Source organism: Homo sapiens, chromosome 10 (assembly GCF_000001405.40).
Source record: "Homo sapiens chromosome 10, GRCh38.p14 Primary Assembly".
NCBI classification, from domain to species: domain Eukaryota; kingdom Metazoa; phylum Chordata; class Mammalia; order Primates; family Hominidae; genus Homo; species Homo sapiens.
Window position 1 is genome coordinate 132,668,303 of NC_000010.11, and position 24,933 is coordinate 132,693,235.

Here is a 24,933-nt window from a genome sequence, read left to right on the forward strand (position 1 = left end):
CTTTCAGTTGAGGCTTTCTGTTGGTGGTTAGGGGGCAAAGTGACGCCCTGTAACTTATTGATGCTGCCATGGAAAAAATATGGAAATGAAGCAGAACATGAGTTTCTCAGAAGCACATTTGACGGACTTCTTTTGGCGAAAATCAGAGCACTTCAAATCCTGTAACCTCAAACTGTTTCACTTTTCAGAGGTTATATAATAAAAAGTTAAGTGATTGATTTTATAGTTCAGTAGGGAGTGATGAAATTCTTGATCACTATCCATAATGGCTTTATTTTAAACAGTGGGCTAGAGATTTAATTAAAGCATGATCAGGGAAATGAAAAAATGTTGATATTTCTCCTCAAATTAAACATGAATTTGCACAGGGAGCATTAGAAGGGCTTATCATTCCTCCTGATGTTTTTATTCTCTTCCGTAGGATTTAAAAGCTTGCGGCCCACTTCACCCCTCTCTGAATAGCTCAGGGGGCTTCAGCCCCTGTTGACCGTGCTCTGGGTTTGGTCCATTTCTGTGGCTTTCTTTAAAAACTGCCGAGCTCCATCGCACGACCACCACTGCTGGCGTTTATTGAGCGTGTACTGCTTGTGAGGCTTTGTTCTGGGGGATCATTTCCCCACTTTATCTTTGGGGTGCCGGAGACACAGGAAGGTTAAGAAACAGCCGGTGAGGCCGGGCATGGTGGCTCACTCCTGTAATCCCAGCATTTTGGGAGGCCGAGGTGGGTGGGTCACGAGGTCAGGAGATAGAGACCATTCTGCCAACATGGTGAAACCCCGTCTCTACTAAAAATACAAAAAATTAGCCAGGCGTGGTGGTGGGCGCCTGTAGTCCCAGCTACTCGGGAGGCTGAGGCAGGAGAATGGCGTGAACCCAGGAGGCGGAGCTTGCAGTGAGCAGACATCGTGCCACCGCACTCCAGCCTTGGAGACAGAGTGAGACTCCATCTCAAAATAAACAAACAAACAGCCGGTGAGTAGCACCAGCTTGTGTGAAGCTGGGAAGTAGCCCCGTGAGCGCCAGGTGTTGCCGGGCCAGGCCTTCCCTGTGAGGCGGGTTCCCTGGTGCCCACTGTGGCCTACTCTGAGGGGCACAATGCAGGCTCCTATTCTTAACCTCAAGGCTTTCTATGTAGCACGTCCTCACGGGACCACAGAACGAGAGGGAGCTGGGGGTGTGGTGGAGGAGTGGCAAGTGACAGGGCAGAAACAGCTGCTCGAGGAGGCCCCGTGTTCTCCTGGGGGACCGTCGGTGACATTTCAGCCTGGCTTAGCTGCGTCCTTGAAAGTGGTTCTGCTTCTCTTACGTGCTTGCAGACACCATTCATGTGTCCTTAGTCTGACAGTGACTTGGTCAAGCTTGGAGGATGTGGGGCCTGCCTGTGCGTGCCCCATGGGCAGAGAGGGCGGGCGCGGTTCGTGCTGGACTCTAGATGTGCAGCTCCAAGTGAGATGTGGGTAGATGCCATTGGGATTTTGGCGTGAGCGTGGACCTGGGTTTCTGGAAGGGCATTGTTCCCGTGTCCCTGTCCCCACTGTGGCCTTGCTGAGCCCCCAGGGAGCCAGGACCCGCTGGTGACTGCTCCCTCTCTGTCCTCAGGGTGCAGCCCTGCACAGCCCTTCTAGCCCTCTCAGGTCTTTCTTTTGTCCAAACTCTTATCTTCTCTTGGGTCCCCAGGGTCACCAACCTCTTTGCAGAAAATCCCTCTGCAGCCACTGACCCCACACCCCCAGCCCCCATGCCCTCACTGCACACGTTCTCAGCCCCCATGTCCTCAGCTTCCAATCCCTAAACCCCACGTCCTGAAACCCACACCCTCAGCCTCCACCCCCAAGACCCTACACCCTCTGACTGCGCACTCCCAGAACCTGCACCTGACCCCACACCCCCTGACCCCACCCCCCCGACCCCACACCCCCTGACCCTACACCCCCTGACCCCACACCCCCTGACCCCACACCCCTGACCCCACATCCTCTGCATACTCCCAGAACCCACACCTGACCCCACACCCCAGACCCTACATCCTCTGTGCACTCCCAGAACCTGCACCTGACCCCACCCCCCCGACCTCACACCCCCTGACCCTACATCCTCTGAGTGCGCACTCCCAGAACCCGCACCTGACCCCCACACCCCCTGACACCACCCCACAGCCCCCATCTTCAGCCTCTCCTCTGCTGTAGTCCCCAGCCCCTGGCTGGCTTGCTTCTCAGCACAGCCCTGGCCCAGAAGCAGGAGGACACTGTCAGCCCCTCCTTGCTGGGGGGAGAGTGGTTGGGGCACACCTGTCCCCTGCCCCTCTGCTGCCCACAGCACAGCTAAGTCTTCACCCTGCCTGCGCGCATCCCTGTGGCCTTCTGGGAGGTCCCAGTGGGGAGCCTGTCTTCTCCCCAGAACACCCAGTCTCCCTTTGTGCCGGGTCACCCCTGTGAGCAAACAGGCAGGCATTTCCCTCTTAGGGAAGAAGCCTCCCTTGACCCCGTATCTCCCCAGCTCCTTGTCCTATAGAAACTGATTTCTTGGCAGTGTCTTTCTTTCTTTTTTTTTTTTTTTTTTTTTTAAGGAAAATGATGGATATTCATGTGGTCAGGACAGCGGTGCCAAAGTGGAGAAACTGCAAACGGCGGTGACGGCTTGACGGGCGTCACTTTTCCTTGGTCTTTGTCAGTCAGGTCTAATTTATAACAGGGCCATTAGTGGGAGATAGCTTTCTTTGGATGTCTTTTCCCGTAAGGGTTGCTCATGGTTTGGCCTCAGTAAAGAAAAGAGAAGGTCTCTCTTTCATATTGTTGGAAGCAGCAGGTGGCCCACTCCTTCTGGAGTGAGGCATGGGCATGTGGGCACGCCTCCATCTGTCAGGAGTGTCCCTGTCTCTCCCTTCTGATTGGGACAGTGGGTCACACTGGTGGCCAGTGGGCAACTGGGGCCCCTGGAGCCGTGGCCTCCCCTGGGCCCAAGGGAGGCACAGATGACTTAGGAGTGGAGAGTTCAAACGTGGGCTGCGGCGAGGCTTGTGCCCTCCCTGCTTCGGACTCCGCCCTCCCTGCTTCGGACTCCGCCCTCCCTGCTTCGGACTCCGCCCTCCCTGCTCTGGACTCCGCCCTCCCTGCTTCGGACTCCGCCCTCCCTGCTTCGGACTCGGCCCTCCCTGCTCTGGACTCCGCCCTCCCTGCTTCTGACTCCACCCTTTCTGCTTCGGTATCTACCTCCTTGCTTTGGAAGGACACAACCTTCTTGGCTGGCACAGCCCTTCCTGCCATGCCTGTTGATCCCATCATCAGCCAAGGATGTGTTGGGGCCGTATTCTGCGGCTCCTCCAGCATGGGAAGGTGCTGACAGGAAGCAGCACCAACACCTCCTGGAATAGCCGTTGGCACATGAGCTTCCTGATACTGTTTCATGTGCCTTACATGTGCCACCCATGCAGGGATCAGAGCAGCCCTATGAAGTGGGTACTGTTATTTGTCTTCCCCGTGTCACAGATAGAGATGTTGAGGCACAGAGAGGTTCAGGGACCAACCAGAAGAGGCCAATGTGGGATTTGAACTTGGTTCTGGCCTCAGAGCCTGTACTCTCAACCAGCCTGCTCTGCTCTCAGAAGGGGACAGCGCAGGAAAGGCCAGCTTCAGCCAGGGTGACGGTGGGGGTGGTGCTCAGGGTGGACAGCATTGATTAGAGGTGACTGTTGTCCAATATTCAGCTAAACTGTAGGTTTTAAAGCTTGAGGACAGGTTTCGTTAGAGGTCAAAATTCAGTAGTTCCTTTCCCAAGGATGTAGGGAGAGAACTACGTTTTGTTAAGTGGCTCTTATTGAGCATTGTGACATTCTTTTGCTAAAAACATGTTTGTGCATGTATACACTTGTACTAAGAAAATATCTTCATTTTATTTCCTTTTCCTTTATCATGTGACATAAGATTTATTCACTTCATATCAGCATTTAAGTATTGTCAACTTTATGAAATAATATTTGGGTTGGCGATTGGTTTTGAAATGTGAGGACAGGAGATCTGGGAGGGGTCGGGATGGAATAATATGGTTTGGCTGCGTCCCCACCCAAATCTCATCTTGAATTCCCACATGTTATGGGAGGGACCCTGCGGGAGGCAAGGGGATCATGGGGGCAGGTCTTTCCCATGGTGTTCTCATGGTGGTGGGTGGGTCTCATGAGATCTGATGGTTTTACAAAGAGGAGTTTCCCTGCACAAGCTCTTTCTTTGCCTGCTTCCATCCATATAAGATGTGACTTGCTCCTCCTTGCCTTCTGCCATGATTGTGAGGCCTTACCAGCCATGTGGAACTGTAAGTCCATATTAAACCTCTTTCTTTTGTAAATTCCTCAGTCTCGGGTATGTATTTATCAGCAGTGTGAAAACAAACTAATACAAGGTCTTTCCTAAGTTTGGAAAAACGTGATTTCTCATCTCTTCAAAAACGACTTCCACTCCCCCTCTGCATTCCCTCTAGGTTCCAGTTACATGTGCGTTGGACCCCACGCCTTCCACGCCCCACCCCACTCCCCTGGTATTGATGACTGCCTTCTTCTACTGTCCATTCTGTATTCCCTTTGCCTTCAGCATCACCTCAGCGGGTCGTGGTTTTTTTCCTGGTGGAATGTCCCAAACCTTCATTCCTGAGGGGTCTGGGTCACTTGTAGTCTTGCCTGGATTGGGCTGTTGTAGTTTCCCGTTGACCTTAATCACAAGGCATGGTAATACTATGGGACGCCCTAATGGATCTCCTGTATTCCATGTATACTCTTCCTTAGCTTCGTTGCAGAGTAGTAGACTGATTTCACCTTGATAGACCAGATCAATCACCCCAACAGTGTAACTCCTTTCTTAGCCTATTGACATAAAGGTAGGAGGAGCCCAGAGTATCCAGGTGACAATCTTAACTTCCAGTTCAGTGGGATTGCTGTTTGGTCTCGCGGTGGCAGCATTCTTCCCTCTGGAACTAATAACGCTAGGCCAGCAGAACGTAATGTTGCAGGAACAGGAAGCAAAACTTTTGCTAGTGGATCATTAGGGGTGATGGTGAGTGGTGCCACTTCCACTTCCACCCTTGATTCCCGGACCCGTGAATCCTGGCTATGGGAGAAACAGTATCATATATTGGACGCTGATTCAGAGCATCCATGGCCCTCTGGAGAACTTTGTCCCAGCCCTGCAAAGTATTGCCACCTAGTTGGTGTTGTAATTGTGACTTCAAAAGGCCATTCCACCATTCTGTCAACCCAGCTGCTTCAGGATGATGGGGAACATGGTAAGACCAGTGAATTCCATGAGCATGAGCCCCCTGCCACACTTCTTTAGCCATAAAGTGAGTGCCTTGGTCAGAGGCAATGCTGTGTGGAACACCATGATGGTGGACAAGGCATTCTGTGAGTCCATGGATGGTAGTCTTCACAGAAGCATTGCATGCAGGATAGGCAAACCCATATCTAAAGTAAGTGTCTATTCCAGTGAGGACAAACCTCTGCCCTTCCCATGATGGAAGAGGTCCAATATAATCAACCTGCCACCAGGTAGCTGGCTGACCACTCCAAGGAATGGTGCCATATCAAGGACTCAGTGTTGGTCTCTGCTGCTGGCAAATTGGGCACTCAGCAGTGGCCGTAGCCAGATCAGCCTTGGTGAGCGGAAGCTCATGTTGCCGAGCCCATGGGTACCCTCCATTCCTGCCATCATGGCCACTTTGTTCATGGGCCTATTGGACAATGACAGGGGTGGCTTGGGAAAGAGGCTGAATGGTATCCACAGAAGGGGTCATCCTGTCCACTTGATTATTTAAATGCTCCTCTGCTGAGGTCACCCATTGGTGAGCACTCACATGCGATACAAATATCTTCACAAATTTTGACCACTCAGAGAGGTCTGTCCACATACCTCTTCCCCAGATTTCTTTGTCACAATTTTCCAATCATGCTTCTTCCAAGTCCCTGACCATCCAGCCAAACCATTGGCTACGGCCCATGAATCAGTATATAATCACACATCTGGCCATTTCTCCTTCCAAGCAGAGTGCACAAGCGGGTGCACTGCTTGAAGTTCTGCCCACTGGGAAGATTTCCCTTCACCGCTGTCCTTCAGGAATGTCCTAGAAAGGGGCTGTCATGCTACAGCTGTCCACTTTCGGGTGGTGCCTGCATACCGTGCAGAACCATCTGTGAACCAGGCCCCGGTCTTCTCTTCCTCTGTCAGCTGATCATAGGGAACTTCCCATGAGGCCATCGGTGCAGGCTGGGGGAGAGAAGGGAGGGTGGCGGGAGTGGAGACCATGGGCATTTGAGCCACGTCGTCATGTAACTTACTTGTGCCTTCAGGACTTAATCAAGCCCAATCACATACATGCCACTTCCATTTGATGATGGAATGCTGCTGTGCATGACCCACTTCATGGCTAGATGGGTCAGAAAGCACCCAGTTCATGACATGCAGTTCAGGTCACACGGTGACTTGATGACCCATAGACAAACGTTCAGTTTCCACCAAAGCCCAGTAACAGGCCAAGAGCTGTCTCTCAAAAGGAGAGTAGTTACCTGCAGAAGATGGCAGGGCCTCACTCCAAAATCCTAGAGGCCTCCGCTGTGATTCACCTATGGGGACCTGCCAAAGGCTCCAAACAGCATCCTTATCTGCCACTGACACCTCAAGCACCATTGGATCTGCTGGGTCATATGGCCCAAGTGTCAGAGCAGCTGGCACAGCAGCCTGGACCTGTTGCAGAGCCTACTCCTCTTCTGGACCCCCTCAGTCCTCCATACCCAAAGTCCAGAAAGTTGGGAATCCCAGTGAATCCCTAGCAGCATCAAAAAAATAAAAACTCATACCCAGTCAGATTATAACAAATCAAGAAAACCATAGAGAGCATAGGGGTGTGCCGCAGTCACACTGACAGGCCACCTTCCTGTTCCTGCAGAAATGGTAACCGCAGGGGACGGTGCAGCCGCATCTTCCGTGTCCTTGGAGGAAATGTCAGCATAGGGTCTTACCCGGCAAAACATCTCCTAAGATTGAAGGTGAAATAGACATTTTAACTCAAATGAAAAACAGTAAGTACTAACGGATGTTCTTCAAGCGGAGAGAAAATGATCTCATATGAAGTCAGAGAGGAGAAAGGAATGAGACTCAAGGCAGTTGGGGGAAGCGGGCAAATGGCCATGGGCATTGGTTGTGTAAACCGAGGCACCTCCTGCAGTGTAAAACACGGAGAGAAGTGCGGTTGAGCATGGGGGTGGGTGCGTGTGGAGTGAGCGTTCCAGGGGCCTTGCCGTGCCCGGGAGAGTGAGGGTAACGGACATTCCCACGGGGATATTCCCACGCGGAGAACTGGGACCCCGATCAGGGTCTGGAGGGAGCGTGTGCCCTTGGAATACTGCTGTTTTAGCATTTCTGGGGACCGGGAACTAAGGTAAATTATTTGAAACAGAAGTAGATGGCAATTTCCTAATATAATGGACATTTAAAACTCAATTAAGGCTTTTGAGTAGAGTTTTATATGCCCTGAGCTTTTGTACTGGCAGAAGGTATTTTGTAAACAGCTTGTGTTCAGTGTTGGCCATCTCTTAAAGTGCATTTTACTTTAATTATTCTATATCCATAATGCACATAACCAGTTTCTCCAGAACATGTATACATGAAATGTAATTGAAAAGCTAATGATTTTTAGAAGACAAAAGATAAGAGTCAGAACCATTTTAATTAGGATGCAAACTCCTTACATAATTTAATTGGCATAAAAGTTTATTGATTTACTTGTATAATCATTTATACGTAGAAAAATATAACAAATTTCATAATTAAAACTAGTTATTTTAAGACTGATATTTTTCTTTGTTCATTATTGAAATTTTCAATTTGTGAAATATTTATTATTCAAAAAATAGCATCTGCGTTGCAAATGAATCTCATTTTGAGAGGAAGAGCTCTAGGTGATACAGGTTTAAAATGACTGGTAGGCACCCACAGGGAAACTAGGTTCCTCACACAGCCTCGTTTTTCATGAGACCTGCGGAAAGGCTCTGGGGCGTCACGTCTCCCTGTGGCCGAGGCTGCTGTTGTCTGGCACACCGTGAGTTCTGGGCCAGGACCTTTCCACCTGTCTCCCTCCACTCCGGGTGAAAGAGGCATGGGGAATTTACTTGCTTTTCCTTTTTGTCTGGCATCAGCTCGTGAAATATATTACATCAGACAAAAGTCAATAGAGATTTCCCTTTTGAAAAGCAAGGTCCATGATAATGGGCTGAACACAAGCAGGTGACTGTGTGGGACAGGGCTGCCCAAACCGCCGCTGGCCTACAGACTGCTGTCCCGGCCAGTGCTCCGCTCCCTGCGCCCCTGATGAGATGGCAGCCCTGGGCACCTGTGGCTGCTCCCTCCTCCTGACTCTGCTCCAAGGTGCCACCTGCCCAAGGTTCCGTCCTAGTCCCTGACCGGCCCCTCCTGTTTCCCCCGTGGCTCCTTGCCCCACTGACTGCTGGCTCTCACCTGCTCCTGTCTCTCCACAGTAGTAGCCTCAGTCCAGTGCTTGACCCTGCCCTTTTCTCTGGCTCCAGCTCCTCCTTGGCAAGCTGAGTCTTCCCCAGCTTTGAGGCCCATCCACATGGTGACCCCCACCGTCACCCAGGCATCTGTCCTCAACTGCAGACCCACAGGTATTCACATGGTGACCCCCACCGTCACCCAGGCACCTGTCCTGAACTGTAGACCCACAGGTATTCACATGGTGACCCCCACCATCACCCAGGCACCTGTCCTGAACTGTAGACCCACAGGTATTCACATGGTGACCCCCACCATCACCCAGGCACCTGTCCTGAACTGTAGACCTAGGTTCAGTCACCTTTGATGCCTCCCTGAGGTGTCTGAAGCTGTTTCAGCCTCTGCAGGTCCATGGCTGGACGCTGTCTCTCCAGAGCCCATCCCAGCTCACATTGGTCTTGGAGGTCCTGTGGATGCTGCCTGGGTGCAGAGCTGAACCTCCCCACTGGGGCTCCTCTGTCATGGCCCCCCTCACCACGCTGCCGTCTTGGGCTCTGGCCATCTGGTCACTCATGTATCTCACATGTCTGAGAACATATGTGGCACAGAGGAAGGAGAAAGTGCCGGGTGCATATTTGTGGAATGTGAGTGGTGACTGAATTCTCTCAGCAAGGGTGGGTGTCCTTAGACCGGCCAATGACTTTGCCCCCGCAGTGTGACAGAGAGCCCAGTGCTGGTAGCAGGCGAGAAGCCAGGACTGCTGGTCACCTTGCCGCCCTCAGATGTACCCCCTTTGGAGAAGCCTGCCGCAGGCTGTTTTACAGGCCATCTCGTTCCATTTCAGTTGCTCCTCACCGTGGTAATCGGAAATGTTAACGGGCGCACTCGTCTGGTGGAATTTATCGTGGCCAGCGAGGGCGATTAAGCGGCTGGTATGTGGCGTGTTTACCCTCGTGTCAGCATGACTGGTGTTCCACCCTGGCAGATGAAGGCCCGGTCCTTCCTGGGCTCCTAATTGGGGACACTACATCCAAGAGCCGTGACAGGGTTCAGCAACCCGCGTGCAGAATGCCGGCTTCCACGGGGCACGCTTTATAAAATGCTCTTTAATTCAGGAACAGAATATCATTAGCTTTGTAAAGTGGATGAATACAATGGACAACCAATTTAATTAACCTCTAGCGTCAGCTGTCGAACAGGAGGCAGAATGAGATTACGTGTGCATCTCTCCCGCCAGCAGCCAGCCGGGAGAGGGGCTCGGCAGGAGGCCAGACAGGGGGACACCTTGGTGCCGTCATCCCGTTTGGCCCCAGGAGCTGAAATTGGAAAGTCAGTGCTTTGTAAATAAGTCAGCTGTCATTTTGTGGTGGTCACGGAGCTCCTCTGAGAGCGGACGGTCACAGCCCCCCGTATGCTGCCTGGGGGTGGCACTGGGGGAAGTGGGCAGTAGTGAGGACGCCGCCTTGTCCAGTTGGGTCAGCCGCCCATGAGTTCATTATACAGGAAAAGATCAATGAAGCGCTACATTGATTTAAACAAAAGCTTTGTTTCATTTATTATTGTTTATAATCTAATGACTGTTATTATAACTTTGCTTTGATTTATTACTCAATCTGTTAAATTGTTTCAAAACAAGGTGTCTTGGGACTTGCCTTTGTGATAGGGTTAAATGTGTGACTTTTGCAAGTGTGTTCAGCTTCTCGGGAGCACCGTGAACCTGTGCCTTGGGTTGTGCTTTGAGACCTGAGCTGAGGGTTCTGTCCAGCGGTCCTGAGCTGCTGCTGCTCAGCCGGGCGCCCAGAGGGTGTGGTGCCTCTCTCATTGCCCAGGAGCCGTGGAATTCCTGCCTGCCGTGACCTGGGCATTGTGGTGGAGGACTCAGAGGCGCCCAGGCCACATGCCTGCCCTCAGGGGGCTTCCCTTCCCTGAAAGAATTTAGATGAGGAAACCAGTGAGTGCTGGAATATGCAGCACCTTGAAGGAAAGGCTGGGGACTGGGACTGCCAAGCCTCTGCCCAGAGTAGCCAATCAAGAGGGCTGCTTGGAGGAGGCTGCATTTCCACAGAGACCTGAAGCAGCAGGGGGTCCATGTGAGAAGCTGGAAAAGGGGAGGCAGCAGAGGTACCCTCCTGACAGAAGGGCGCAGCCTCCTCAGGCCCAGATGGCCAATGGGGCTGGAGCTCTGTCAGCTGGGTGTGTGAGGGCCAGAGGACAGCTGGGGTGGCCACTGTGCAGGACGTGGCTGGGAGGAAGTGCAGTGGCAGGCCCAGAGGTGCATGTGGAAAAGGCCACCTTGGTGCCCGGTGGAGAAGAGACCAAGGGGGCTACAGCTGTGGAGGAGGCGGGGGCCCCACAGGGAGATGAGGGAGGTGGGTGTGCAGCAGTGCAGAGACGTGGAAGGCTAGAGATGGACAGGGTTCTGTAATCCGTAGAACCTGTGGAAGGAAGGGATGTTTGGGTGAGGCATATGGACAAGATGCTGGAGGAATCTGGAGAGATCCGTGGTTTCCAGTGGGAGCTGGAGGAGGGTGAGGGTGGAGTAGGTCTCCAGTCCTGAAAGGTCGGACTTGTCACGGGAGACCCAAGTGGAGACTGTGCAGCCGCCGGGCCAGGAGGCTGGCCTTTAGGAGGCTCCATGCTGTACACACAAGAGCTGCCCGCTGGAAGATGGGACAGACGGGCCACCCCAGCGGGAGGAGGAGGTGGAGGAGAAGGGCTCGTAGGGTACCCTGAGCAGATCCAGAGTGCTGTTATTCCCAAGTAGGAGGAGGAGATCCAGGGAAGGAGAATGTGGAGTCCCGTAGCCTAGAAGTAACAGAGTTTGGAGGAGGGTGGAGGGCGTGAGAAGGTGATGAGACAAATAAATAATTCTGGATTATATTTAAAAATTAAAAATCTACAAAATGAGACAGGAAAATGGGCAAAGGATACAAAGAGTTCACAGAAGAAACTTAAATTGCCAATAATCTTAAAAAGAGATGCGCCAGACACACAGACCATGGAGCAGAGGGGACAGCCAGGAGGCACCCTGCCTGGGCAGCCAGGTGGTCTCTGACAAGGGTGCAAGAGCATTCCATGGGAGAGGACAGCCTCCAGCCAGTGGTGCTGGGACGCTGATACCCACACGCAGAAGAATGAAGTTGGCCCCTCACATTACATTGTGTACAAAGTTAACCCAAAATGAGTCAAAGACCTAAAACTATAAAACTTTTAGAAGAAAACATGGGCCAGAACCTTCACAACATTGGATTTGGCGATGATTTCTCAGACGCAGCACCAAAGGCACAGGCAGCAAAAGAAAAAAGAGACAAATTGGACTGCATTAAAACACAACCACTTTGTACAGCCAAAGACAACATCAACAGAGTAAAAAGGCAACCGTGGAATGGGAGAAAATATTTGCAAATCAAAAATCTGATAAGGAATTACTATCCAGAATATATAGAGAACTCCGAAAACTCAACAACAGCAACAACAAAAACCAACCTGAGTCAGAAAGGGGTTTGAATAGGCGTCTTCCCTCCAAGGACGGCGTGGAGACGGCCGATAAGTACACGAAAAAGCGCCCAGCTCCACGAACCTTTAGGGAGATGCAGATCCAAACTGCCATTTTCATTTGTCAGTTTAAAAGGACTTGCAAAATACCTTATACCCATTAGGATGGCTGTTGTCAAAAAGCGCAGAAGATAGTGAGAGGTGACAGCGTGCTGGCAGTCCTCACAGCCCTCGCTCGCTCTCGGCGCCTGCTCTGCCTGGGCTCCCACTTTGGCGGCACTGGAGGAGCCCTTCAGCCCACCGCTGCACTGTGGGAGCCCCTTTCTGGGCTGGCCAAGGCCAGAGCCGACTCCCTCAGTTTGTAGGGAGGTGTGGAGGGAGAGGCGCTAGCGGGAACCGGGGCTGCGCGTGGCGCTTGCGGGCCAGCTGGATTTCCGGGTGGGCGTGGGCTTGGCGGGCCCCGCACTCCGAGCAGCCGGCCGGCCCTGTGCAATGAGGGGCTTAGCACCCGGGCCAGCAGCTGCGGAGGGTGTACTGGGTCCCCCAGCAGTGCCCACCCACCGGCGCTGCACTCAATTTCTCGCTGGGCCTTAGCTGCCTTCCCGAGGGGCAGGGCTCGGGACCTGCAGCCCGCCATGCCTGAGCCTCCCACCCGCTCCGTGGGCTCCTGTGCGGCCGGAGCCTCCCCGACGAGCTCCGCCCCCTGCTCCAGGGCGCCCAGTCCCATCGACCACCCAAGGGCTTGAGGAGTGCGGGCGCACAGCGCGGGACTGGCAGGCAGCTCCACCTGCAGCCCCAGTGCGGGATCCACCGTGTGAAGCCAGCTGGGCTCCTGAGTCTGGTGGGGACGTGCAGAACCTTTGTATCTAGCTCAGGGATTGTAAACGCACCAATCAGCGCCCTGTCAAAACAGACCACTCGGCTCTACCAATCAGCAGGACGTGGGTGGGGCCAGATAAGAGACTAAAAGCAAGCTGCCCGAGCCAGCAGTGGCAACCCACTCGGGTCCCCTTCCACACTGTGGAAGCTTTGTTCTTTCGCTCTTTGCAATAAATCTTGCTACTGCTCACTCTCTGGATCCACACTGCCTTTATGAGCTGTAACACTCACCGCGAAGATCTGCAGCTTCACTCCTGAGCCAGCGAGACCACGAACCCACCAGAAGGAAGAAACTCCGAACACATCTGAACATCAGAAGGAACAAACCCCGGACACGCCGCCTTTAAGAACTGTAACACTCACCGCGAGGGTCCGCGGCTTCATTCTTGAAGTCAGTGAGACCAAGAACCCACCAATTCCGGACACAATAGCAGGTGCTGATAACGATGGGAGGGAGTTGGAACCTTTGTGCACGTGGGTAGAAATATAACAGGGGGCAGCCACTGTGAACATTGAGGTGATTATTCAAAAAGTTAAAAATAGAATTCCCGTCTGATTCAGCAGTCCCACTTCTGGGTACAGACCCCAAAGAATTGAGAGCAGTCTCCAGCAGATATTTGCACACCTATAATCAAAGCAGTATTATTCACAACTGCAAAATGCGGAAGCAGTACCATGGAATATGACCCAACCGTAAAAAGGAAAGAAATTCTGGCAAGCACTACAACATGGTGGAGGAACTTGGAGGACATTATGCCAAGTCAAGCCTGTCACAGAAACACGAACATGGTATGATTCCACTTACATGAGGTACTCGGATTAGTCAAAGTCATGGAGACAGAAAGTACAGTGCCTGGTTGCCAGGGGCTGGGGAGAGCGGGAAGGGAAGAGCGGGAAGGGGAGAGCGGGAAGGGAGCTGCTGCTGGACAGGAACAGTTTCAGCTGGGAAGGTGGACAGCGTCCTGGAGGTGGGAAGGTGGACAGCGTCCTGGAGGTGGGAAGGTGGACAGCGTCCTGGAGATGGGAAGGTGGACAGCGTCCTGGAGATGGGAAGGTGGACAGCGTCCTGGAGATGGATGTTGTGATGGGAGCTGTTGCTGGTCGGGAACAGTCTCAGCTGGGAAGGTGGACAGTGTCCTGGAGATGGATGGTGTGACGGGTGCAGACGTTCGTTAGGCGCGGACTGCGTGCCACTGACCTGCTCACCTGAAGGTGGGTACGATGGTCAAGTTTATGCTGTGTGCATTTTACCACAGCCACACAGTTCGATGAAGAGGTGCCCAACTATGCTAGTATAATGAAGATGCAAATTAAAACAATAAGGTCTAATTTCACACCTATCCAGTTGGCAAAAACTAGAGGCTGGCACTGGGCCATGGCAAGGATGTGGAACGTGGGCACTGCCCTGATGAGACCACTGGGGGATCGTCATGGCAACAGGAGGGGCAACGTGGTGGTGCCTGGGAGGGCATGTGTCTGTGGTGACCCAGCAAGGCCATCTGTGTATTATATACATATGCACGCATGTTTAATCAGCGTGTAAACTGTGTGTTATCCTATGTGGAAGGCACGTGTCTGCCATGACCCAGCAATGCTGTGTATTATATACATATGCACTCATGTTTAATCTACGTGTACACGTGTGTGATCCTATGTGGAGGACACATGTCTGCCGTGACCCAGTAAGGCCATCTGTGTATTATATACATATGCACGCACGTTTAATCTGTGTGTACACATGTGTGTGATCCTATGTGGCGGGCACGTGTCTGCCATGACCCAGCAATGCTGTGTATTATATACATATGTACGCACATTTAATCCACGTGTACACGTGTGTGTTATCCTATGTGGAGGGCACGTCTCCTGTGACCCAGCAAGGCCATCTGTGTATTATATACATATGTACGCACATTTAATCCACGTGCACACGTGTGTGTTATCCTATGTGGAGGGCACGTGTCTGCCGTGACCCAGCAAGGCCATGTGTTGTATTATATACATATGTATGCACGTTTAATCCACGTGTACACGTATTATCCTATGTGGAGGGCACGTGTCTGCCGTGACCCAGCAAGGCCATGTGTTGTATTATATACATATGCACACACGTTTAATCCACGTGCACACGTGTGTGTTATCCTATGTGGAGGGCACGTGTCTGCCGTGACCCAGCAAGGCCATCTGTGTATTATATACATATGCACACACGTTTAATCTGCGTGTACACATGTGTATTATCCTATGTGGAGGGCACGTGTCTGCGGTGACACAGCAAGGCTGTTATATATATATGCACGCATGTTTAATTCACGTGTACATGTGTGTATTACCCTATGTGGAGGGTGCGTGTCTGCAGTGACCCAGCAAATCCTCCTGCATAGTATGTCTGTGTGAACACTCAGTACCCATGTACCTGGATGCTTGTTATCTCTGACACACTTGCTCAGTAACACCATGCAGGGAAGATTATTATAGCATCAATTACAATACTCAAATAATTGGAAGTAGTCTTTATGTGCAACAGAGAAATGGATAAATTACAGGGTTTTTTGTTTGTTTGTTTGAGACAAAGTCTCACTTGCTCTGTCGCCCAGGCTGGAGTGCAGTGGCGCGATCTTGGCTCACTGCGACCTCTGCCTCCCAGGTTCAAGTGATTCTCCTGCCTCAGCCTCCCAAGTAGCTGGGATTACAAGCATGGGCCACCACACCTGGCTAATTGTTGTATTTTTAGTAGAGATGGGGTTTCGCCATGTTGGCCAGGCTGGTCTCGAACTCCTGACCTCAAGTGGTCGACCCACCTTGGCCTCCCAAAGTGTTAAGATTATAGGTGTGAGCCACTGTGCCTGGCCAAATTACAGTATTTTTATATGGTGAATTATTATGTAGCATTCAAAATAAGCTAAAATATGTCTTTATCTTGGTATCACGCCATAGGACATTTGAGAAACTGTCCTCTTTCTTGGCTTCCTTTGTGAAATCCACCTGTGTTTCTGGATGTAACTCTGATCTGTGTATTTTCCTTGCTGTATCTGGTTCTATCATAGGAATATTTCAAATTTGATTTACCCATTTGCACGTTAAGCATTTGGGTCATTTTCAGTTGGTGTTTTCAGAGGTCATATGCCATTGTATTCTCATGCCTGTCTCCTGAGAGCTCCAGCGTCTCTGAGAGAGGTCTGTGTGTGCATTCCACGTGTGTATACAGACATATGTATGTCTACAGGTGTATGCATGTATGTGTGTGTATTACATATGTATGTTTGTCTATAGTGTATATGGATGTGGGTTATGTACATGTGTGTGCATGGATGTGTACATATGTGTGTGTGTGCAGGAGTTTCTCTTGGGTGCAAAGCAGCCGTGAGGGTGTGGGGTTGTAAGTTCACAGGATGTGGTGTGTCCCTGTGGCTCATGTCTTCAGCAGTCACTCATTAGTCACTGTGAGCCTGTCTTCTCATTTCTCCTGTATTACAAGGGCAGAGGAAATGTCTGAAAGATCAGGCTCAGAACCACATGCCTGCCTCAGCTCGGGCAGGTGCTTTCACCCTAATGAGGACGGAACGTCAGGCTTGGCCTCTCCGTGATGTCCTTAGCTTTGTTCTCAGAGAGCACAGATGTTTGCCACTGGCCCTCACAGGGTGTGTCAGAGCCCAGGTGAGCATGGTTTCGTGCCCCTGGGCTCCTGCGTGAGGCCGCGTCCTTCATTTGGGGGTCCTGTGTCCTCACAGCATGCAGCTGGGGAAGGAGTGGGCTGCGTATGAGGGGAGTCATGTTTAGTAATCTCTCGACTCTCATTTAAAACAAATGAAGTTCTCTATTTTGTTGCAGACTTGAAGATTAGTTACCAACAATATCTTATGAAGTTTTTCTTTCTGCTCCTAGATTTATTTTATTAAAAAAAAAAACTGGAGGTGAAAACGCTTTATCTGTAGAAATAACAAAATGTCATGCTGTCTCAGAGTGAGATGGGAGTCACCAAATGCTGCCACTCTTTTTTCTGAGTCACTGTTGATAAGCACGGTCGGCCTTAGTCAGGGCTCCCCTGGGCCGCGGGCCGTGGCCTCCTCCCTCAACACTTTTTCCCTTCCCAGTGGCAGAATGCAGTGGCAGGCTCCACAGAGATCCCCCTGGGGCGCACTGGGAGCTGGCACCTGTGGTCACGCCCGCGACGCGGTTGGAACCAGCACAGGGGAAGGGCCCTGTTGCCACCTGGGGCCTCACATGGGCACTGCTTGTGCATTTCCCCTTTCTGTCTCGAGCAGAGTGTGTGCTCATGTGCGTCCCTTAGCGCGGGGTCTGTGTGACTGAAGTTTTAGGAATGTGTTCTGTTTTGTGCACGAGGGAGCTGGGTGCAGAAGACCAGGTTAATGATGTGTGCTTTGGTCGTTCACCTGATTGCGGAAATGATAAATTACCGGCCATCTGACTTGTTTGCAAATAAAAAGTGATGGAGGCATTTCCAATGGCAGCTTTGTGTTCCTGGCTTGTCAGCCTCTGCCCCGGCCTGAGTCATCCCGAGCCTTCCAGCCGGTGGCTCCGTCCGGGAGGTGGGACCCTGCTCAACAAACACGGGCTTTGTGATTGCACAGTGCCTGCCGGGACGCGTTGTTCTTTCCAAATGTGTGAGAAGTGGTCTGCTCCCGCCCTGAGTTGGCTGTGTTTGCAAAGTGGGCCCGCTATCAGAATTCAGCTCCCGAAATCAAGCTAAGTGACACGGTGTGGCCATTTATCACATTACCGGACTCCAATTGAAGTTGAGAGGTTGTTTTAATAGCATTTGTAAATACTCCATCTTCACTAGCCGCCCCTGTGAGAGGCACTGAGCCCCCATGGTACGCAGGGTTCGTTGCGCCCTGGTCGCCAGTTGGTGTGGAAGCCTGATGGTGGTGACTGGGAGCTTCAGTTGCCCATTAGCTCCCAGGCTGCCTTCAGAGACCAGGGTCCCACCAGTGCAGCCCCAGCCAGGGCCCAGGTTAGCCGGGGTCTGGATCTCCTGTGTGGCCCGCACCGGATCGACTTTTCGGTGCCCCAGGGGCTTGGCTTTGTCCAGTGGAGGCCGCTTCCCGGCTGTGCCGTGGCCTCCGGGGGCTGGAGGACTCCTGCCCGTGTCTGCAGTCCTCGCAGAAGCATCACAGCTAATGGCTGCATTTCACTAATGCAGAATTAATGAGCACTCTTGACAGTCTTGTTTATCAATACGTAAAAAGTATTTTGTTTTTAGCAAGAGGCGAGGAGTCATTATTCTCAGATGTGACAGACATACTCTTGACAAGTACTGTGGTCAGAGACCTGGGCGAGCTGGGGACTTCCTGTCGGCAGGCCCCGGACACGCTCCTGGCCCAATGTCCTGGTGTCTGTGATAAATGGGTGCCCTGAACCGTATTGATGGGACAGGGTAAACACCGAAAAAGTTGGGTCGAACTTTGACTTTAAATGTTCATTACAGCTAATTATGGATTTTCTGACTATGAATTGCAGTTTCTATCCCTGCACTGGCAATTTATTTTTCACTTATTTATTGCAAACTTTATAATATTCTGTTAGCTTTAACATTCAATGAGGTAATGATTTAAATGTTTGCAGCGACATTTATTATGTTTTTTCAGAGTGCTTTCTTTATCTGAAACAAATGAAGGGATATCTTCTATAAAGAAGGGCTGATGTTGGTGGAGGAGACATTAAGTTTCATCCATGGGGCATAGGCCTGCAGTTTTCTCTCTTAACTCTGTGCTGAAACTCTATTTTGCCAAAGAAAAGGATGAACACTGGCTTTTTAATTTTAATTTTCTATTTTTTTGAGACGGAGTCTCGCCCTGTCACCTAGGCTGGAGTGCAGTGGCATGATCTCAGCTCACTGCAACCTCTGCCTCCCAGGTTCAAGCAATTCTCCTGCCTCAGCCTCCCAAGTAGCTGGGATTACAGGCTCATGCCACCACGCCTGGCTGATTTTTGTACTTTTAGTAAAGACGGGGTTTCACCATGTTGGCCAGGCCGGTCTTGAACTCCTGACCTCGAGTGATCCGCTGCCTCGCCCCCACAAAGTGCTGGTATTACAGGCGTGAGCCACCAAGCCTGGCCAACACTGGGTGTTTTTAAGACCTGCTGTAAAGGTGGCTCAGTTCCCCGGGTTCTGAGCAGGTTCACAGCAGATGCCTAGTGAGATAGCGGGTCAGTCGAGCAGTGTCCATGTCACAGCCGAGTGCATCATGGCCACACGCAGCCTTCTGGACCCAGCAGCAGCTCACCAGGGCATGTGGCCTGGGGCCAGGGACCACAGAGGGCCTGAGGACACAGCCCCATGTCAGGCACACAGGTTCTCCCACCTTCTGGCTTTCCCGTGGAGGCAGAGATGCTGCCTGCTGCACCCTAGACCCACCTGCGAGAGAAGAGGAAGTGCACTGCGTCCCCCTCGGGTATCCTTCATCTCCGTCCCCTAGACAGAAGGTCCCTGTCATCTAGCCTGGGGGCTCCCATCTGGGTGGTGGCCAGGATGCAGGGCTGGGAGGCCCATGGTTACCCTGCAGCTTTGGGTTCTCCCACCGAGGTCTGGCACTCATGAGTGTGCATGTGTGTGTGCACATGCAAGCGAGCACTCGCACCTGCCACCTGTGCTGGGTGGAGGCGGCACGTGTCCCTGCTCCTGCCTGTGGGTGTGTTCCCTTCCCCACCAGACGCAGCAGAGACAGGAGGCAGAGGCCACCATGGCGTCGGTGCACAGGACTCAGGCTTGCCAGCCGGCCTCTCTTTTTAGGAGTTTAAATGCACTCCTTGAAGTGTGTTCTGTCAGAGGGCAGCTGTGTCATCCCCAAGGTGAAACACTGTTTTCTGGTGAGGTGTCCATGTGGCCAGCGTCCCCGGGAGCAGGACCATCACCCCAGCCCACCATGCACTGCACACGCCCTAGGAGCAGGAGCTGCACAGCCTCCAGGGAGCTTCCCATGTTGTGGAGTCGGCATCAAACCAGAGACGGCCTAACAGGCCCCAGAGAGCTGACCCAGGGGCCCAGGGGGCTGCAGACAGGGACCAGGCCAGAGTTACTGGCACGATTGGCCCTCAGCAGGCCCAGAACATAAGTCCCCTCACCATGCACTGTGCCTGCCGCCCTGCGCCTCTGAGGGAGCAGCAGCCTCCTGACGCCCCAGTGTGGTGCACCTTCTTGCAGCCCTGCCCCCAGGACAGCCACCCCAGTGACCGGTCGTCAGGGAGGGAGCAGCAGTTCCCTGGGAACTGCAGAGCCTGAAGTGTGTGGGACGTTTAGCTTGGGCCATGGAATTAGGTGATGTTCAGGCATTGCCTTTGACTTTCTTAGAGAGACAATAGCTCTGCAGCCCCGTAGGGCAGCATCTCAGCAGGAGGTCCACACTGGGGCACTCAGAACTGCAGGGTTGTGGGGTCATGGTTCTGCCCAAAACAAAGCAAGAGTGCATGAGTGCGTGTGTGCAAGTGTGTGAGTGTGAGCAAGTGCGTGCGTGTGCATGAGTGTGTGTGCAAGTGAGTGTGAACAAGTGTGTGCGTGTGCATGAGTGCATGTGTGTGCAAGTGTGAACAAGTGCATTGTGTGCATGAATGTGTGCAAGTGTGTGAGCAAGTGCATGTGAGTGCACGAATGAGTTCGTGTGTGAGCAAGTGCGTGTGTGCACCAGTGTGAGTGCATGACTGAGTGCAAGTGTAAGTGTGCGTGAGTGCGTGTGTGCATGAGTTAGTGCATGAGTGTATGAGTGCAAGTGGGAGAGCAAGCACGTGAGTGTGCATGAGTGCATGTGTGCATGTTAGTGCCTGTGAGCAAATGCATGTTGTGTGTGCATGAGTGTATGTGTGCAAGTGTGTGTGAGTGCCTGTGAGTGCTTGTGCGTGAGTGCATATATGTGTTAATGTTTGCAAGCGTGTGGTGTGCATGTGTGTACATGAATGTGCAAGAGTGTACAAGTGAAGCCTTGGAATGAGGTGATACTCAGGCGTTGCCCTTGTGTTGCCCACAGGCTCACACAGACACAGTGAGGGATGCACCACGCCCTGTGCTTTCAGCTGAGGACAGGCCCTGTTCAGAATGCAGAGTTGGGGTTAGAGCCCCCAGTGGCTCAGAGTCTCTTCCCTGTGGAAGGCCCTGTGTGACCTGGTAACGGTTGGGCTCCCTGCAGGCAGCCCCTGCCCTCCGTCTGCAGCTGCGCCCGTGTGCCCTCCTCTCTGGCCCACCTGGCACCGCCGCTTCAAACTCTCCCCTGCTTTATCCCAGGACCTGCTACCCCCACAGGGCACACAGCTATCTCCTATGAGATAGGTTTGTTTGTTAAGTCAGGTTTATAACGATTAATGTATAGATGGTGAGATTCGCCCTCTTTGGGGTATAATTTAGTGAGTTTTGACAAAGGCAACCACTGCAAACCAGTGTAGAATATTCTGATCACCCCAGAGTTGCACCAGGCCCCGTGTTGGGGTTGCCAGATTTAGCAAAAGAAAAAAATACACAGAAATAATACACATGTCAGTACGAACACACTGCTGCATGTAGACACAGGTTCATCTGTAGAAAATACCACGTGAAACTTGCAGTTCAGATCAACAAGTAACTGTCTGTGTGGTATCCGTCGACCCAGCCCTGTGGCGTCCAGCCGCGTACTTTTGCCTTCTCTGGTATGAAGAGCAGGGATCCCTGTGCTCTGCAACCATCCGGCTAATTTGTAAGTGGGAGACACTGGCAGCTCCTGGGGCGATGGGGCAGGGTGGGGCCAGGCGCAGTGGAGCTGATGGTTGGAGGCCCCAGGACGAAGCCGAGCATCAGTGCTGGGAAGGGTCTGGTCCACTCAATGCCCGGCCGGTGGGACCTGCGCCCCTGCTGGAGCCAGCACCGGCTGCACGGCTCACCTGGGAAGGGTCTGGTCCACTCAATGCCCAGCCCGCGGGACCTGCGCCCCTGCTGGAGCCAGCACCGGCTGCACGGCTCACCTGGGAAGGGTCTGGTCCACTCAATGCCTGGCCCGTGGGACTTGCGTCCCTGCTGGAGCCAGCAGCGGCTGCACGGCTCACCGCATGCCTGGAGCTTGGTGGAGTTTGGGTGTTTGCAGGTTACCTCTGCCTGACATCCTGTGCCTCAGTAACTGTGATTAAATTATAACTGGTGAAACTCTTGCTCTAGCTAGTTTAAAAGAGCTTCTTTTATTGTTAAAAATGATCTTTAGAAATATTCCCAGCACCAGTCTCTCATTTGATTTCTCTTTTTGCTCTACAGGCACTAGGAAGCTTTTATTTTCTTCATGAGTCCTTAAAAAACATCTACCAGTTTGACTTTAAAGGTAAGACTGCGTGCCGTCTTCCGGGATTTTGTCTCGGCACTCACCCCTCCTGGTGTCTGGCTTCCCCAGACCTCTCCTGCCCTGTCTCTGTGAGTGGCCACTGTGGGCTGGGTGTCTTGAGCCACTGTCCAGAGGTCACTCCAGGGGCCTCCTGGACCTGGACTCGAGGCCCCTTGGCTGTCCCACACTGGCTCCCTGGCAAGGCTCTGGTGGGGACCTGGCTTTCCTAGAGTTGAGTTAAGAGGAAGGAATAGTTTGTATCTGTGTTCCCATCCAGTGTGAGAAAATGAAAAGCCGAATGAGAGGGTTGCATGTTTCAGAAATAAGAACAGGCAGGGACGGTCCTCCCTGCCGTGAACAGCATCCCCGTTTGATGGTCATGTGCTGTGTGTCTTCACGGAAAAGACTTGCCCTGAGACGCTCCGCTGACACAAGCTGTCCCCTCCTGTTCATTTCTTTGTCGGGGGCAGGTGCGTGAGCTAGGCCGGGTGTGGGGCTTCCGTGCGTGCTCCACACGGCCTGGGGGTGTTTGTGCGATGACTTCCCGTCTGACGCTATCGTTTCCTGCTGTGTGTGAGTTCTCAGAACCCCACGCGGCCTCCGGAGCAGATGACATCCATGTGAAGTGCCCTGCACGTCGTAGTAACTGTGGAGCCACAAACGATGTCGTTTCGTTCGGATTCCGTGTTTGTGCTCCCTCGGGAGACGGAGCGGCTCCTGTGAAATTGCGCGGTAGTCTTATCTCAGTTGCTTGAGTGGTGATTTCATTGATGACGAGAGCAAGATTCTGGCCAGCAAAATGATTTGTCACTGCCCCGTTACCTGAAGACCTTCAGATCCTTCCAAATTATAGCATCCAAGCCCTTCTATGAGGCCCGTGGCAGGATCAGCCGCACAGAATTGCAGGAGCCGGCCGGTGGCGCTCTCCGCTCCGTTTTGGAGACACGGCGTCTGCGTGCTGTGCGCTCAGGCACGGAGCGGCCGGCGAGAGTGGAGAGAGCGCGCCGACGCAGCGTGTGCTGCAGGAAGCTGGAGCCAAGGAGCTGGTGCGTCAGGCTGCGCCGTGCCGCGGATCTGCAGACCTTTTGTGTTTTTCAGTAGCCATTTGAATACCTGTTTTACTACTAAGTTAAATCAGTCATAAAGTGCCTGGTGAACCTACAGTGTATTTAAAACTATACATGAGATACACACTTCACTCTAGCAAAACTTTCCCCAGAGCCCTCCATGTGGCCAAACTAACAAGAACAACATGAGGAGTGGGCAGCGAGCATGTCCTGAGCACGTGGTGCGTCAGGAAGGCATGCAGACACAGGAGGCGTGTGGACGCGGGAGACGTGTGGACATGGGAGACGTGCGGTCGCGGGAGACGTGTGGTCGCGGGAGACGTGCGGTCGCGGGAGACGTGTGGTCGCGGGAGACGTGTGGTCGCGGGAGACATGCGGTCGCGGGAGACGTGTGGTCGCGGGGTGTGCGGTCGCGGGAGGCGTGCGGTCCTGGCAGGCGTGCGGTCCCGGGAGGCATGCGGATGCTGACGATATTCTCAGTGCCCCACACGGCAGGTGTTGCTGCTGATGCTCAGCGCAGTCGGGGGGCCTCGGGCTGGGCGGTTGGGCTCGAGGGTCAGGCTCGGGGGTCAGGCTAGGGGCTCGAGGCTCTGAGAAGGACTCAAAAAGAAAACCTAGAAATCAGAAACAGTACCAGAAATGAAGCAGTGGCTCATGTGCACACGCGGCTGAGGGAAGAATCAGCGAGCTGGAAGGTGTTAGAAACTTCACAAACTGAAAAGCAAGAAGAAATGAGAATAAATTTGAAAACAGAAGAAAATGGCCAAGACCTGTGAAACAGCGACAACAGGTGCAGCTTGTAAAGGGAACCCCAGTAGGAGTAGAAGGAAAGGAACAGAAGGAAGATTTAATGTAGTAATGGTTTAGAACTTTCCAAACTTGTAACTGACACCAAACCACAGATCCAGAAAGCTCAACGAATGCCAACACCAAGCAGGATAAATGCCAGAAAGTCAACCCCAGGCCACCTTGTATTCAAACTGCAGAAAATCAAAGAAAAAAGAGAAGATCTTGAAAGAATCCAGGAGATTCCTTATAGGCGAGGTGATTCCTTATCTGTAAAGGAACAAGGATAACAATTACATTGGACCTTTTCCCAGGAACCATGCAAGAAGGAAGAGAGTAGTGTGAAACATTTAAAGCATTATAAGAAGAAGAATATCATATTCAGAAAAAGATTATTCTTCAAAAGTGAAGGAAATTGACTTTGTCAGATAAGCAAAAATTGAAGTAATTTGTTGCCAGTAGACCTGCCTTGCAAGAAATGCTAAAAGAAGCTCTTCAACGGAAGGAAATATCATATAGCCCAGAAACTCTGGTTTACCTAAAGAAAGAAAAAGCATTAGAGAGGGAATAAGTGAAGGTAAAATGAAATATATTTTTCTTACCCTTAATTGGTCTAGCAGATAACTTTTGCTCAACGTAACAACAGCAACCATGTATTGGTTAACTGCAGCTTATGGATAAGTGGAATGAATAACAGAAAAGTCATAAGGACAGGAGGGAGGAATTTGGGGTACTCTGTTATAAGAAACCTGTACTATCGTTTTAAGGAATATAGTATTATTTAAAAGTGGACATGGATTAGTTATACATTATATTGCAAACTATGGCAACCACTAAAAAGCTTTTTAAAAGAAGTATAATTGATGTGTTAAGAGAGGAGAGATAATGGAATCATATAAAATGCCCAGTAAAAGCCAGAGAAGGCAG

General features: G+C 52.0%; 1 protein-coding gene across 8 annotated transcripts in view, besides 1 other annotated feature; it reads left to right on the forward strand.

Moving 5' to 3' along the window:
- Window positions 1-24,933, forward strand: part of INPP5A (inositol polyphosphate-5-phosphatase A) — a 245,694-nt gene that overhangs the window by 130,516 nt on the left and 90,245 nt on the right. For 6 of the 8 annotated variants that reach the window (XR_001747104.2, XR_945735.2, XR_007061963.1 and 3 more), the window contains exon 5: window positions 22,090-22,153. Coding sequence is in view for 4 of the 8 variants with exons in the window: in NM_005539.5 (NP_005530.3) it covers window positions 22,090-22,153 (64 nt within the window). In the remaining 4 variants the exon portion in view is untranslated. Of the gene's footprint in view, window positions 1-6,924; window positions 7,025-12,972; window positions 13,650-22,089; window positions 22,154-24,933 lie in introns of those variants that run through there. The other 2 variants (XM_017016204.2, NM_001321042.2) reach the window with 2 other exon arrangements.
- Window positions 18,990-19,734: an enhancer, noted in NCBI's record as "H3K4me1 hESC enhancer chr10:134500796-134501540 (GRCh37/hg19 assembly coordinates)". NCBI's record gives its function as "activates a minimal SCP1, AML or CMV promoter by ChIP-STARR-seq in primed H9 embryonic stem cells {active_cell/tissue: H9 hESC(primed)}" and the evidence as "EXISTENCE:reporter gene assay evidence [ECO:0000049][PMID:30033119]".